Raw genomic sequence first — 15,391 nt, 5'->3', positions numbered from 1 at the left:
TTTAAATATTATTGAATTTTAAGTAGTTAATATTTTGCATGCCAAATTCAGTCCAGCCTTTATTCTCTGAAATGTTTTTCTTTAGAAACCATGGAGGTAGAGCTTTGTTTTGTTTTGAAGGAAATAGTTATCATAAATAATGTGCATTTACCAAACTGCTTTTAAAATAAATTCTAGGAAATTCTAATGCAAATTAAAATTCATTGAGAAAGAGTACTTTATTGGGAACATACAATGTATATAACCTGTTTGTATCGTTTTTGTTCATGTGTACATGAGGGATTTTGTTTTTATACCATTTTAATATATACTTTTTAATTTAGATCTTATTGCTATTACGTTAGGATTGCTTTTATCTGGAGGACATTTTCAGCAAACCTCTATACATTTTCATTTTTGTGATAAAAATATAAATATATGGTTTGAAGAGTCATTTTTAAAAATGTCTAGAAATATTCATATTATAACAATCTTTATTGAGAACAAATGTTGAATGTTTTATGTAACAAATTTATTCACTAGAGATTTTATTATGAAAAGTGGGATTGAAAAAATTCTGAAATACACGACTTCACTTTTGTTTTTAACATAACTGGTTTTTTAGCGTAACTAATTTACAACTATATTTTCACCTCAGGGATTTGCTAAAACATTTTCAAAATGTGGAGTTTTAAACACTTGAAACTTTAATCCTTCTTTACTTGTCATAAAACTACATGGACCCCAAATTGTGTGACACTAATATTTATGTTATTATGGATTTTTGATTGCTAGATTACATGCAGCAAACTGGAGGTCAAGCACATCTATTCTTTTGGATGACAGTGGAAGGATACCGGGTTACCGCCCAACAGCAGCTAGAAGTTTTATTAAGTCGTCAGAGAGATGGAAAACATCAAACCAACCAAACCAAAGGTCTTTTAAGAGCAGCTGCTGTTGGAATTTATGAACAGTATTTATCAGAAAAGGTGAGGCTGTATTTTGATTACTGTTTTCTTCTTTAGCAGTATTATTAATAATTTTTGTAATCCATTGCTTATGCCAGGCTGACTACCTCGAAAACATTGTCTCCTTTAATCGATAACAATCTTCCTGTCTGTCTGTATCCTCGTTTAAGTGAAGATTCTGATGTTTAGCCAGTCAAATTATCATGGCCACAGTCATGCAAATACTAAATGATAGAATAAGATTCAAGGTCACACATTAGATTCACCACAGGCTGAAAGTAAAAGGATAGAAAAAGATAAACCATGCAAAAGTAAACAAAAGAGAGTACGTATATATATTTAAAAAACGTATATATGTTTAAATGTATGTATTAAACATATGTACATTTAATAACAGAGCCCCCCAATGAATGAAACAAAAATTTGCACAATTGAAGGGTAAGAGAGACAATTCAACGGTTATAGTTGGAGACTTCAATACCCCACTTTCAATAATTGATAAAACAATTAGATAGAAAAACATCAAGGATATACAAGACTTTAGGAACATTATAAATCACTTAATCCTGTAGAATAATATATATACTATACTATAATTCTATAGAATATATGTAATACACTATAATTCTATAGAATATATATAATCTATAGCGTCTATAGAATATATTTTATGTAATATGATTGTATAGATTATTTTATTATAGAATGTATAGAATACATATATAGAATAGAATTGCTTTAGAACTTATAGCATACATGTATTCTAATAATGTAATCTAATAATATTGTAATAATTCTAATCTAATAACAATTCTAATAATATTGTAATATATGCATATATTGTTATATATATAATAGGTAATGTAATACTGTAATACATATATGTATATTATTCTATAGACTATTTCCCCTAATGAAAGCAAAATACACATTATTTTCCAGAACACATGAAACATTCTCCAAGATAAATCATTTGCAAGGCCATAAAAGCCGTCTCCATTTAAAAGTATTGGAATTGTTCTTTGATCAGAATGGAATCAAATTAGACATCAACAAAAGGAAATTTGGGGAAACTACAAATAATTGAAAATTAAACAACATATTTCTAAATAGCCTCTGAGTCAACAAGAAATGACAAGGAAACTAGAAAGTATTTTTAATTGAGAATGAAAATGCATTGTATCAATTCATGAGATGCAGCTACTTAGTGCTTAGAAGAATATTTGTAGCTTTAAAAATGTCTAGGATAAAAGATCTACAATCAACAATCTTTTTTTACTTAAAAATCTAGAAATGAAAAATAAATCCAAGGCAAACAGAAGAAAGGAAACAAAGATTATTGTGAGAATCAGTGAATAGAAAACAGAAAAACCATAGTGAAAATCTAAAACCAAAAGTTGGTTCTCTGAAAATATCAACAATATTGTCAAACCTTTAGCTAGACTGGCCATGAAAAAATGGAAGAAGACACAGATAACCAAATTCATAAATGAAAGAGGAGACATGAACCCTGACCCTACAGAAATTAAAAGGAGTAAGCAAATATTATGATCAACTTTATGACAACAAATTAAACAACTTAAAGTGGACAAATTTTTAGACACAGATTGCCACACTAACTCAAGAAGAAATAGAAAATAAAATAATTTGCTTAATAAGGTCTGATTCTTGCTAGCTATAGAAAAAATGCTAAAATCTTGGTCTGTGGTAAAATCATATTTTTTTAAGTATAGGACAAGAAAAATGTTTTTCTCTAATTTGAAATACTTTTTGAATGAAAATGGAGAAAAGGATTACAGTAAACAGAAATTTATATACTGTTTCGCTAAAATTGGTAGGTGATCTTTGACGAGGCCAAAAGCAGCCTAGAAAAGAGTTGACACACTGACCTGAGTTGTTTGATGATACATGTAGGTTGTGATAAAAACTCATATAGTGAGCAAAATGACTCCTATTTTTAAAATAAGACTACTTGAATATTAAAAAAAAAAAATGTGTCACCAGAAAAGGACAGCCAACTTTAACAGGATTTTCTAAATTTCTTTACTAAAAGTAATTTATTTGGAATTGAACTTCAGTTTGACAAGTTTATCTGTCTATTTAAAAACCATTTTTCCTCAAAAAGGGATTTAACTTATGATGACATCATTATGCTTCAAAGTATTTAAAAATGAGCATTGTAGGCCTGGATAGCCTATATGATGAATTTATAGATGAAAAAGACCTGATTGACAAACAGTTGATCTACCTACCAAACAAGCCATATATATGGTTTTTGGACTTTTTTTGGAGCACCGAAATCAAATTTCTACACATTTAAAAACCTGTTTTTAATAAGTAAAATCCCAATTATTACATTCCCAAATTATTTTGTTGAAAGGATATTTAGGCTAGGTGCAGTGGCTCACACCTAAAATCCCAGTGCTTTGGGAGCCCAAGGTGGGAGGATTCCTTGAGGCCAGGAGTTTGAGACCAGCATGGACAACATAGCAAGATCTTGTATCTACAGAAAGAAAAAGAGAAAAGAAAATTAGCTGGAGTTGGTGGCACAAGGCTGTATTCTTAGCTACTTGGGTGGCTGAACCAGGTGCTTGATCCCAGGATATCAAGGCTGCAGTGAACCGTGATCATATGATTGCGCTCCAGCCTGGGTAACAGAGCAATATTCTGCCTCTTAAAAAATTTTTTTTTTAAAAAGTTTATTTAACTTGATCCTTCACATTGGATTGACACAAGAAATAAGTGTGAGGTGGGCTTGAAAAGAGCAGAGCTAAAAATCAAGGTGAATTTTTATGTTTGATTATATTCAGTGGTAACACTGCATAAAAGATGTCCTAAAGGCTGCAGGCAGTTCAGAAAAGTATTAGAGAAGGAAACAGAAAAAGCAAAAATATCCTACTGCATCATGGACTCGATAGAAAAGTCATTATTTATTTTTGTTAAATATAGATAATACCTGTTTTGCATGTATATTTTGCTTTTATGTACATTTGTCTTTTAAAAAGTCTTTCTGTATTTTAAGAATACAAAACAATATAGCCTATAACATTTAAGTATCCAATAGAGTTTTAAAAAAAGTTAAATTGGTATATTAGAGGACAGAAACATTGTAAATTACATATTGTTGTATTTTTCTCACACAGATTATTTGCCACTGTTAACTAGTCCCATTGGTTTGTTTAAATAATCACATTTCTGTAATAGAAAAGTAAAGAATACACATTAAGAGATAATTTTGGGAAAACATTCACTTTTATATTTTCACATTAAAGTAATAACAAATGTGTACAAATATTTCTTTTTTGTTGTTGTTTTGTTTTTTGAGACGGAGTCTCACTCTGTCGTAAAGTTTGGAGTGCATAATCTCACTGCACCCTTTGCATCCCAGGTTCAGGCAATTCTCTTGACTCAGACTCCCGAGTAGGTGGGATTGTAGGCATGCACCCACATCCAGCTAATTTTTGTATTTTTTTAAAGAGACAGGGATTTTGCCATGTGGGCCAGGCTGTTCTCGAACTTATGCCCTCGAGTGATCCACCTGCCTTAGCCTCCTAAAGTGCTGGGATTACAAGCATGAGCTATCATGCCTGGCCATATAAGTATTATTTTTGTATTACTTTTTTTGGAAGAGGGGATCTTGACTGGTTGTGTTTCATGTTGGTACACTAAAAGTGTTGGTCATCCTATACCAAAGATGTGGCTTAATCTATTCTGTATACTTGAGATATATAGGAAAAAGTAAAGTTTAAATAAACGTAAAATATGATGTTTCAAATTCACCCTTTTTATTTCCTAGAAAGTGAGTTTAGTGAGCTTAGAGGGCAAATGAAAGGGCAAAACCAAGTAACATCATATTCCTCTCTAATGTTTGTTAAATACTTGAAGCTGTTTAGTTCTCCCGTTTCTATTTCAGGGCAACTCTACTACCCCCCGAAACACAAAACAAATAAGCATCCCCCTCAAAACAACAACCACCACACAACCTACTTAGGTTTACTAACAAAAGCGTCAAATTGACAGTGGGGCATTAGAAGTTGTATAGCCCTTTTCCTACATATTTATATCCTGATGTTTACTTTTTTTTTCTCCTTTCTTGATTTATCTACCTGTTCTTTATTTTATTGGATAAATTAGAGAAGTTATGTAAATAATGCTTTTTGTTTTTGTTAGTTTCTCTAAATGTTATCTCTAGGACTCATTTACTCTCCAGACTTTTCAGAACTGAAAATGCAAAAGTTGATGTGCTGAAGCTGTTGACATGTCTAGCTTTTCAGCATTTTTTCTTTTAATAAAGTAATTTTTGAAGTTGAAATGTCAAATTTTGTATTTCCTTGTGTTATATACTTTGAAATTGAAGTTCTTAAAACAAATTAATTTTAAGACTTTTTTTTCCCCATATCACACTGGAACTTTGCTGCAGCATTAGTTATAAAACCAAATTTAGGATAACAGTAATCTCTTTAAAGGACATTCAAAAGGTTTCTCTAGGGTCAAATAATAAATGAAATGGCTTATTCGTTCAGCAGTCATATTAATACACATCTAGTACTACTGAATACTAAACACTGACTCCTAATGACAGTGTTTCCTATGTGCCAGACACTATGGTATATATCTTATATAGATCTTTTTTAATCCTTACAATAATCCTAAATAACCTTATATAGTATTATCTCCATTTTACAGATGGGGTAAATGAAGCTTACTGAGAGATAACTTGCTAGGCAAAAGTTGAGATTTAAATCCGTGTTTGTTTGCCAGCCTGCTATGAGGAAGAGTACATGAGGAAGAGAAGGGTTTAGTCCTGTTTCATCCTTCTTAAACATCAAGGTGTCGTTTACAAACCAATGATTCTTACCTGCCAGTTATTTTCAATAATATGATTCCATTATTATCATACTATCAAGTATCATCTTGTATTAAGAAATTACAGAGATCATTACTATTATTTTTCTCTGTTAGGCATCTCCAAGAGTTACTGTTGATGACTATTTAGTAGCAAAATTAGCAGATACTTTGAATCATGAAGATCCAACCCCTGAAATCTTTGATGACATTCAAAGAAAGGTATTATTATGTACAGCATTTATCATTTTATCTTTTTTGAGAAAAAATACTTTTATGTAATGTAATTAGTTTTTAAAAACTTTCTAAAAGTAGAGTGGTATTAAAAAGATAAACTATGGCAATTATACTTCTCAATTCCAGAAATGTAAACCAGTATTTTTGTTTATTTCGTTAATTTTCTGAGGAAAATCCTTAAGTTGGGTTGTTTTATTTGAATTTGATTGTAGGGCTAGATATTGTAGTCTCAGAATTTGATGAATTGATGCCATATAAATAACATGTCTTTCAAATTCATTTTAACATGAGCCTTGAACCTTTACATGTACTTGTTTCTTAGAAAACAATTCCTAGAATGTGCTGTCTGTGACTTGTGTTGCAGTAGGATTTTTTTCAATATAATTTAGTTACTGGAGGGATCAGAGGAAATCATTAGTTGTGAAATAGTCTTATTGCTGACAGCTTGTAACTATGATACATTATGGCAAGACCTCAGTGTGTCTTTTGGTGAAATTGTGTTTTGTAAAAATCACCACACACCTGTATTAATTGTTGAATATCTTGATTTATTTCACCAAGGTATATGAATTGATGCTACGAGATGAAAGATTTTATCCTTCCTTCAGACAGAATGCACTTTATGTGCGCATGTTAGCTGAGCTTGACATGTTAAAAGATCCTAGTTTCAGAGGATCCGATGATGGGGATGGAGGTAAGGTGGCACCCATTTTACACATAATATGCATATATATTTATATATATTCTGCTTACCAAAAGAGCTTTTGTATAAGTTAAAAATGTTGTTGGAGTCCAAATATAAACTGTAATATATTAAAAAATCTACAAATGAATGACAAAGTTTAGTGACTATACTAAATTAAAATGCTGAAAATTTAATAGTGGATTAGAATGTAACTATAGAAGCCTTGAATTCTTAAAGAAGAAGAATGTTTTCTTCAGGTGAGTCACTGAAATATTTTTATGGCAGTTTCCCTTTTGGGAGTAAGTAACAATATTCATGATTAACAATAGAATTATTGAGAAGATTTAATATGCAATAAGTAATGACTCAGAGTATATCATAAACTATAAAGCATTATTAAAAAACTACAGTTTTAAATATCTTTAATTGTACACTTTTCCAAATTCTACACAGTGTGAGAGACTTTTGAGCTAGAAAAAGCCGCAAGAGTCATTTATCCCAACCTTCAGTTTTTTCCAGTGAGGATAATGAGTTCTATTTACATGTTATAGTGAAAAAAATGGTTTAAGAGTCAGAATATTTCGATTTTACTCCCATTCTATCACTTACTACCTGTGTGAAGTTGTCCAACTGCTTAAATTCTTCAAGCCTCATTTTTCTGAGTTGGTAAATCTGGAATAATATCCTCATAATATCTTACGTTAGTCATTGTTAGATTTAAATGGAATTATGCATTTGAAAATGATTTATAAAGTAAAACACAAGTATCAATTTTTATTAGTAAATAGTGAGTTATATAAGAATAGTGGGAGGGATAGCCTTTAGAACACAAGCTTCCAAATTCTTAGGCCCAATGATCATTAACTTGTGATTCAATTCAGAAGTATTTATTAAGCTCTAATTAAATATCTAGGGTTGGATGATCTTTCTGGTATGTTCTACCAAGTGAATGAAGTCAATAAAAAGTAAATGGGAAAGATTTAAGTATTTTAAGAAAGTGCTTCAGTTATGACTGTTTACTTATGAATAGGTTTTATGGCAAGCACACTTGAGAATGGAGATAAAATAGAGCTGTTAGGTAGTGAGCACTGCTTTAAAAAATACCTTTATTATGGAAGTCTCCCAGCCTCCCCTCTCCTCCACCTCCTATCCCTGTGTCTACACTAGTGAGATTTTGTTTTTTAAATAATCTAAGAAATCTAGTTACTGAAGTTTACATTTGAAATTTAGTAACTTTTCTTTGATTATTTATCTGATGCCTTGGGTTTTTAAATTAATACTCTATAAGTTTACTTATGTGTACAATTGGAATAATGTATTAACTGATTTTGATTGCATAATTAAGGAAGATTTTTTAAAAAAACAGAGTTCTTCTCTGAGTTGAATGGTAAAATTTTATGTACCTCTAGTTTGTTCTATATATCTGTACTTACTCTATTGAAAAATGTTCTTTTATAGAGATGCTATGAAATTTGCAATAGCAGCTCTGTCAACTAACCATCCTAAAATGACTATTATAAAAGTTTTTGTTGTTTATACTAATTTTATCTATTTTAGAAATTTCTTCGTATTTGTGAAGTGGATTTGCTAGGTGACTCAGAAAGAGAGAAGACAAAGTCATAACCAAATAATTGTGTGGGCTTCTAAGTAATGTGTAATTTAAACTGGTGATAGTAGCAATATATTCTGTGGAAGTAATTTTTGATCCTGTAACTTAAGAATGCTTCCAGTCCTTTAAATGGATTTCTAGCTTCCATTCATATCTTTCTAGCCAGTCTGTCTTCTTCAGTACAGCTATTGGAAGCAAACTATAAGCAGTCTCAAACTTCCTAAAATCATACACTGTACTTTTTTAAAACACGAAGTACATTAAAAAATTTTTTTTTGGAACTGGTTTTGATCTGAAGTAAATATGCTTCTCTTATATATCAGTTATTGAGTAACCCCTCACATTTGAATCATTGATTGTAGTTTGAGATTATATACTTATGTATCTTATTGTCTTTCTAGGACATTGCTCTCTAATATTTTGTTTCCTAATTGATGAGTTTTATACTGTGAAATTACCTATCCCTTTTTTGAAACCATTCAAAAAAAGTATATGGAGTGATGGGTATAATATGAAACATTACTATTTAAAGTAACTGTCAGCTTTGTTGTCTTTGTCAGTGTTTAGGTTTTAGGCCACTGGTTTACCTTTCTCAACTAGTAATGCTTCTGATATACTTCTTTTTATATGATTATTTAATCAAAAATAGGCCTTTCCACTTTTTTTGTTATAAATTAGTTTTCTGACTTTTAAAATTAAGCTGCTGAGCACTACATGCATTTTTTAGATATTCTGAAATTTTGACCACCTTTTAGACATTCTGAAATAATTATCTAACCTAGGGATTAATGTACAGCTGATTTTTTTAAAGTAGTCTACATTTGAGCCTAAAATTAAAGGACCAAGTCATATCATATGGTATAGTACTGTATCCTCTGGTGGTTTTTCTTTGCTTGAGTAGAAATTTCATTCCTATTTAACCAAACTTAACAGTAGGTAGAGAATTAGCTGGTTGGCTTGCTTGTGCTTACTATCTCTCCTCTCTCCTTTTCTCCTCATTTCTTCCTTTGCCCTTTCTCTTTATTCATTATTACTTTCTTTAGTTATGAAATTATTTTAAAAGTAGATATTTTCTCCTTTATTAAAACAGTCTCATAGGCTTTTAAAACTATATGAATTATGCTTTCCTTTTTAAATTTTAATCTCAACATTATTTGTCTCACCATGTTGAACAGTGCTTTCTTTTGTTTTCTAATATTTGTAGGTAGTCATCCAATTCTTGATTAAATGTCGACCAAGATTGATTTTATACTGTATTTCTGGATCTTCTTATTGTTGATCAAGAAAATAAACTATGCCCTATTTTGCTCCCAAATTCTCCTTTAACTTGACTTGTCTTTGGTGGGAAGATTTAAGAGGTGGGCACACTACAGAAGAGGTAGGAGGCATATAATTGAATAAGGAGGATAGATAACTATTTTACTTATTTTAAGTATCACCAAGGGATAATCCTAGGTGAAATTCCCATTTTTTTATGACCAGAGGGCTGAAGAACCAAGAAATGTTCTTGAGCATTTAGAGTAAATTTGGAAGGCAATATCAGCTGCCTCCTTGTAGGAATAGTAGTGTTGCTTTTTTGAAGACCCATTTAGAGAACCAAATTCATATATAACCTCTTAAGTGCTCGAAACCATATATTAAACTGTGTATGAATATTGCTTTACCATAGATTTGTTTGTGTGTTTAATAAAGGAACACCTTAATTGGTAACTTAATTTTCTTAGATTTATAATAGAACTCTAAGGGAAAAGATTGTTGTTTGACATTAATGTTAATAATCCAGCATTGACTTATTCTCTCACATTAATTTGTCCTAGTTGCTTTTTAATGAAATGGAATTGCATATGCAGTTTTAACTGTCTTTTTGTTATATATTGATTTAAAAATCTGGACTTCCAGTGTTTTCAAGATAATCTACCACCAAGAATAAGAGGACTTAATAGACCTATTAAAAATAAGTCTGTTTATCCCTCACAGTACAGACTGATTTTATTTGTAATCTTTCTTAATCCAATGAGACAGAAGTTACAAAATAGTGCTGGTGTTTCCTAATGGGCCTCATTCTGCAATGTTTTCCTCATGCTTATATTGTATTAGGCAACTTACTTGATACCATGAGAATAAAAACATTTAATAATTACTCTCCTGAACACGAATGCCTTTTTGATTTTTGGCCAGCTATCAGGTACATACTATATTGTCACTTAAATGCCTGTCTTAGAAAACCATGGGACTTTAAGGGATCAAGTTTTTGGGAGTATCCACAATTTTTTTTTTTTTTTTTTTTTTTACTATTATGTTATATCTTGGCTTATGTGACTTTCATTCTTAGTGTTTGAACCTTAGATAAAGCAACCGTTTTAAAGTTTTTTGCTGTATACTAAGTTGAATTTCCCCCCTGCAGAATCTTTTAATGGGTCTCCTACAGGAAGCATAAATTTGGTAAGTACTATTATGGGTACTTTATTAAAGTGACTTGAAAATAATGTAAAAGGCTGAGCCTTAACATATATAAATAAATGATATATAAAGAAGGCCCCAAATCATCCTTTAGTATTGTAAAAAGTTATTATGCTTTTAAAGAAATGCTAAGTTCACATATAAGGCATCTATGAATTAGAACTTAAAAATTATATTTTATCTTTATTTTAAAAATTGGCTTAGGTTATACCTGCATAATTGCTTTTCTGCATTTTATAAATAAATTGATTTCATTATTTTCAATTCTAATATTTAGCATGTTTAAATTACTATGATTACTAAATTGCTATGATAGGCAATAAGTTTGTGACACATAAATGTTTATATTGGAATCAGTTTTTTTCTCCTCTTGTATTTAGAAAGAAATACAAAACTAGTGGGGATAACCAAAACCGAATAGATATTTCTTTAAGTCTACACTAAAACAAATTCAGGTCATTGTAAACAAAAAATTTTTTTTTGTAAGTTTAGACAGTTTTACAGCAACTACATCCTTAATGATTAGAGGTTAGAATGGCATGTTTTTAGAATCTCAACTGTCATTGGCATTTTATATATTCAAGGTACAGTGTAAAATAATGAAAGTTTCAGTTCTCTTATATATCCAGCCTTGCCACTGAATAACTCATTTTCTAAGATGCTGTTAGGAAGAAATATTAGCGTTCTATGAAGGTTTCAGTCCAGTTTGGCTGGGTTGGGGAGGGGAAAAACAGGTAAGGTGTTGTTTGTTTTGTTTTTCCTCCTACCTGCATTACTTTTTCTTTTAGACCTTTCGTAATAGCTAAATGTTTTAGAGGTTAGTCGTCTTAGGTGTTAGCTGTACTACCATGTCTGCTTCTAAAATAACCTTATTGAGTAAATGTTCTGTTACTGTATTATAACCTTTAGTAAAACACTAAAGCAAATCTGTGGTAGAATTGTCAGATACTTTGTAACTTTTAAAATATTTCCTAAATCATTTGGTGTCATTACCATTTACTTGTTATAGTCCAGAGCTTTAAACTAAAAGGAATTGCTCCTAGAGCTTGAAGGAAGTGTTAAAAATAATGTTCATTATATAGAAAAGTTTCCAAATGTGATGAAACCCTTCCTTGGTTTGAAATTTTTTAGTATTCACATTTGTAGTACTTGTGTAAATGTTTAAACACTAGTAAAAAATTTTTTTTCTTTATTCCATGTCTGGAATAAATGCTTTTCCAAATAAGATAAGTCTCTTTTGTCACATGGTAATATAAACCAGAATAGTCTCTGGATCAAAAAACAGTCATACTTGAAGTCAGTGACTTGGAGTATTTTTTTATTCCCATAAATCTATTTAATTCATACTTCTAAGTAGTTGGACCATGTAGACAAATTTTAGTGAATATCTGCATTTTAAAAATAGCTTAAGATTGTAAACTAGATCACGATAGTTTATTCCAATGTACTAAACAAAGGAGATATTTAATGTGTTTGGTATTTTACTCATTTTGCCATTGGTAGCTTGGTAGGTAAATTACAAGCATTTCCTTTAGTGCCATTTTGGTTGTGTTTGATGACTATCATTATAAATTTGAATTTTCAGTTTTTGTCTTAGTGTTAAAAAACACTTTCTTACAAGGAGTTTAAGAATCATAACTTAAAGAGTACTTTGCAAATTGTGCTTATTTCAATATAGCATTAATGTACTTGTTTTGAAATCACAATTGTCTTTTAATATATTCCTAAATCAAATGTAGTTTTGTAAATATTATTTTACCAATTGTAACTTTATAGTCCACTTGATATTTACGTGCACTATAACTGTAACTAATGTTTTTCCAAAGTTTTCATCATATGTAATGAAAATAATATTTACTAATTGCATATTTTAAGAGACAAAAAGACATTTCTCCACAAAGCCTTTTTAACAACTTTTGGATTGCATAGTATGAGATGCTAACATGTTTAAAGAGATAAGTACATTTAGCATGTTAAATGTTAACATACAAGGGAAGGTTACCATTATTAATAATGCTTTTTTAAAAAAATAGATTATTTTATGTTACCTGTGCTGGCTTATAATTAGAAGAAGTTATAGTAGATAATATGAATTTGGTAGACTGTTCCATTTCCTCTGAGTCTTCTATCTTTCACATAAAAATATTGAAGTAAAGGTTGTGCTATTTCTATCAAAATGATTTCTTGAGCACATAAAAATAAATGCACTCCTTTTTTTTTCCAAAGCATTTTCATTCCCAGTATGTCCTGACAGAGATGTAGAGCAGGTATTAGCCCCATTTTACCATTGGGAAAACTGAAATCCGAGAAAGTAGTTGATATGGTTAAAGTCTCTTAAGGTATTGGTAGTAGAGCATGGACTAGATCTAATTTAATTTGATGTCTTTGCCATTTGAGTTGACCAGGGAAGTCTTGTGGATTATCTGTATAGAATTATCACATTTTGCTTCTCTTAACAATCAGTTTTTAGTAGATACATTTTTGGCCTTCTTCTTAGAATGCAATTGCCTTAATTTAAGTGACTTTGTGCCATATGGATGGTTGCTTTTAAGTCATTTAGATGACCCTTTTAGTAATAATAATATTACATTAGGACTCAAAAGCTCATTCACATCCTATTATTTTTAAAGTGTGAAATATATCTGAGTTATATAATATGAATATGTGAAATGTGTGAATGATATAAATACGTGAAACATGTCTAGATTATATATGTTCGGTGTCCCCAAGACCACTCCCAGGCTCAGTGATTTGCTAAGAAAACTCACAGAACATACCATAGTCTTACTCATGGCTGGAATTTCTTATCATGAAAGGTTATAAAGCAAAATCAGCAAGACAACACATGTGAAATGTTGCCACCAGGAAAATTCATTGGAGACTAAATGTACAGGTTTTTTATTGGAGGCAGATTATATAGCACATACCAAAATTCTGGACTCCTAGAAGGAAAGTAGGTGTTCAGCATAAACATTTCTTATACAGATAGTTTAGGTATGGTAAACCACTCTTATTGATTAGAGAATGCTGAGAATCTTCCCTAAATTTAAGTTCCCATATTCCATCCGAGGGACAAACTTGGAAGCAGTCTTTTCTAGACAGAGCAGTTTCAGGCTGCCATGTTAACTCTGCAGCCTGCTTTAATTACATGGTTATGTTCCTTTTTATATATGTGTGGATATATGTGTATGTGGCAAAAACATTTTTAAAGTTTAGACCCAAAGGCCGTAGTTATAAAAGATTCATTTTGAGTCAGTCAATAGGAATTTATGTTTGTGGAATTGTTTTTGAAAACTAATCATTTAAAATCTATCATAGTCTATGGATTCACCTCATTTAATAAATAATCAGAATAATAGCTAACAGTTGTTATATTAGGCAGTTTTCTAAATGTCTTACATGTCTTATTTAATCTCCACATAATTCTCTGACTTAGGTAGTATTCTCATTTTATAGATAAGGAATCTGAATTAAATTTAAAAATTATTTCTATATTAACAAAAGTATTAAGCTAAAAACTACAGAGCTGGTTCTAGTATATTTCAATGTAAATGTTAACATAATATGTCTACTTATTTTTATCTAGATTTTCTTGCCATATAAGGATCATAATTGAAAAGTAGCAAGTTACAGTAGATGGACAAGCAATTAAGGGAGAAATAATCTAATATATTAAGTTTATTACTAAATTTTTTGTTATTGTTTCTTAATCTTTGCTTTTTTTCTGTTAGCCTAAATGGAAAATATTATTGTGTATGGAGGGGATGGAGGGTATACAAATAATATATAGTTTACATGCAGGGAAATGAGTAATTGTAATGCATATATGATGTAGAATTCTTTACTCTTTTTTTTCCCTATAAAATTTTAAAAATTTGTTTCCTGATTTTTTTTTCTCAGTCTTTAGATGACCTTTCAAATGTTTCTTCTGATGACTCAGTACAACTTCATGCCTACATTTCAGACACAGGTAAGAGAGTTTGAAGTATAATTATTGCATTAAAACTATGTATTATTATATCCCTAAATAATTTTCCACACTTAATTTTTACTAACCATTTTTTTGTTCTCTAGTCATAGTTTTGTTACTTTTTTTCTGCAGCATGTCCTTCATTAAATTCTGCTATATTTATTTGCTTATGTATTTGATCTCTCTAAGATTGTCACTATCAACATTTGAAAATGCTTATATTCTAAGTGTTCTACTATTTCTAATAAACTCTAAAACCATTCTTTTCCTCTTTGTTCTTGGGTCTAGCTGATAGTTGTCTGTATAATTCTCGTTAAATCTTTTCTGGAGAGATCTTAGTTCAGGATTAGTTTTCATATATACAAAGTCAGGCTAGATAACTGGGGTAAATGAAGCCCCAGGTATAGGGGTTTGCAGAACTTCAAGAAGTGCTTGAATAATGAGGTGAGAAACCTCTAAAACTTTGTGATCATTCAGCATATGTGAAGAATTGTTAGTAAATTCGGAAAAATAACCAGTTTTCATCATTGCTATTGAGTTATTAGATAACACTAATGAGTATTAAATAATGATAGTTTTCTTATCTGACCTCTTACTGTTCTTAGATTGTAGAAGTGTGTTTGTCATATTACATACTG

The 15,391-nt window shown here is 30.4% G+C and overlaps 1 protein-coding gene across 15 annotated transcripts in view; it reads left to right on the top strand.

The window, feature by feature from the left end:
* Positions 1-15,391, top strand: part of SNX13 (sorting nexin 13) — a 149,734-nt gene that overhangs the window by 99,720 nt on the left and 34,623 nt on the right. For 12 of the 15 annotated variants that reach the window (NR_146933.2, NM_001350863.2, XM_017011893.3 and 9 more), the window contains 5 exons: positions 775-968; positions 5,910-6,014; positions 6,591-6,723; positions 10,728-10,765; positions 14,684-14,753. Coding sequence is in view for 13 of the 15 variants with exons in the window: in NM_001350863.2 (NP_001337792.1) it covers positions 775-968; positions 5,910-6,014; positions 6,591-6,723; positions 10,728-10,765; positions 14,684-14,753 (540 nt within the window). In the remaining 2 variants the exon portion in view is untranslated. Of the gene's footprint in view, positions 1-774; positions 969-5,909; positions 6,015-6,590; positions 6,724-8,271; positions 8,605-9,527; positions 10,464-10,727; positions 10,766-14,683; positions 14,754-15,391 lie in introns of those variants that run through there. The other 3 variants (NR_146932.2, XM_005249673.6, NM_001350868.2) reach the window with 3 other exon arrangements.

Source organism: Homo sapiens, chromosome 7 (genome assembly GCF_000001405.40).
Source record: "Homo sapiens chromosome 7, GRCh38.p14 Primary Assembly".
Classification (NCBI taxonomy): Eukaryota; Metazoa; Chordata; class Mammalia; order Primates; family Hominidae; genus Homo; species Homo sapiens.
The sequence above is the reverse complement of the archived record's forward strand: the minus strand, read 5'-3'. Positions and strand labels throughout refer to the sequence as shown.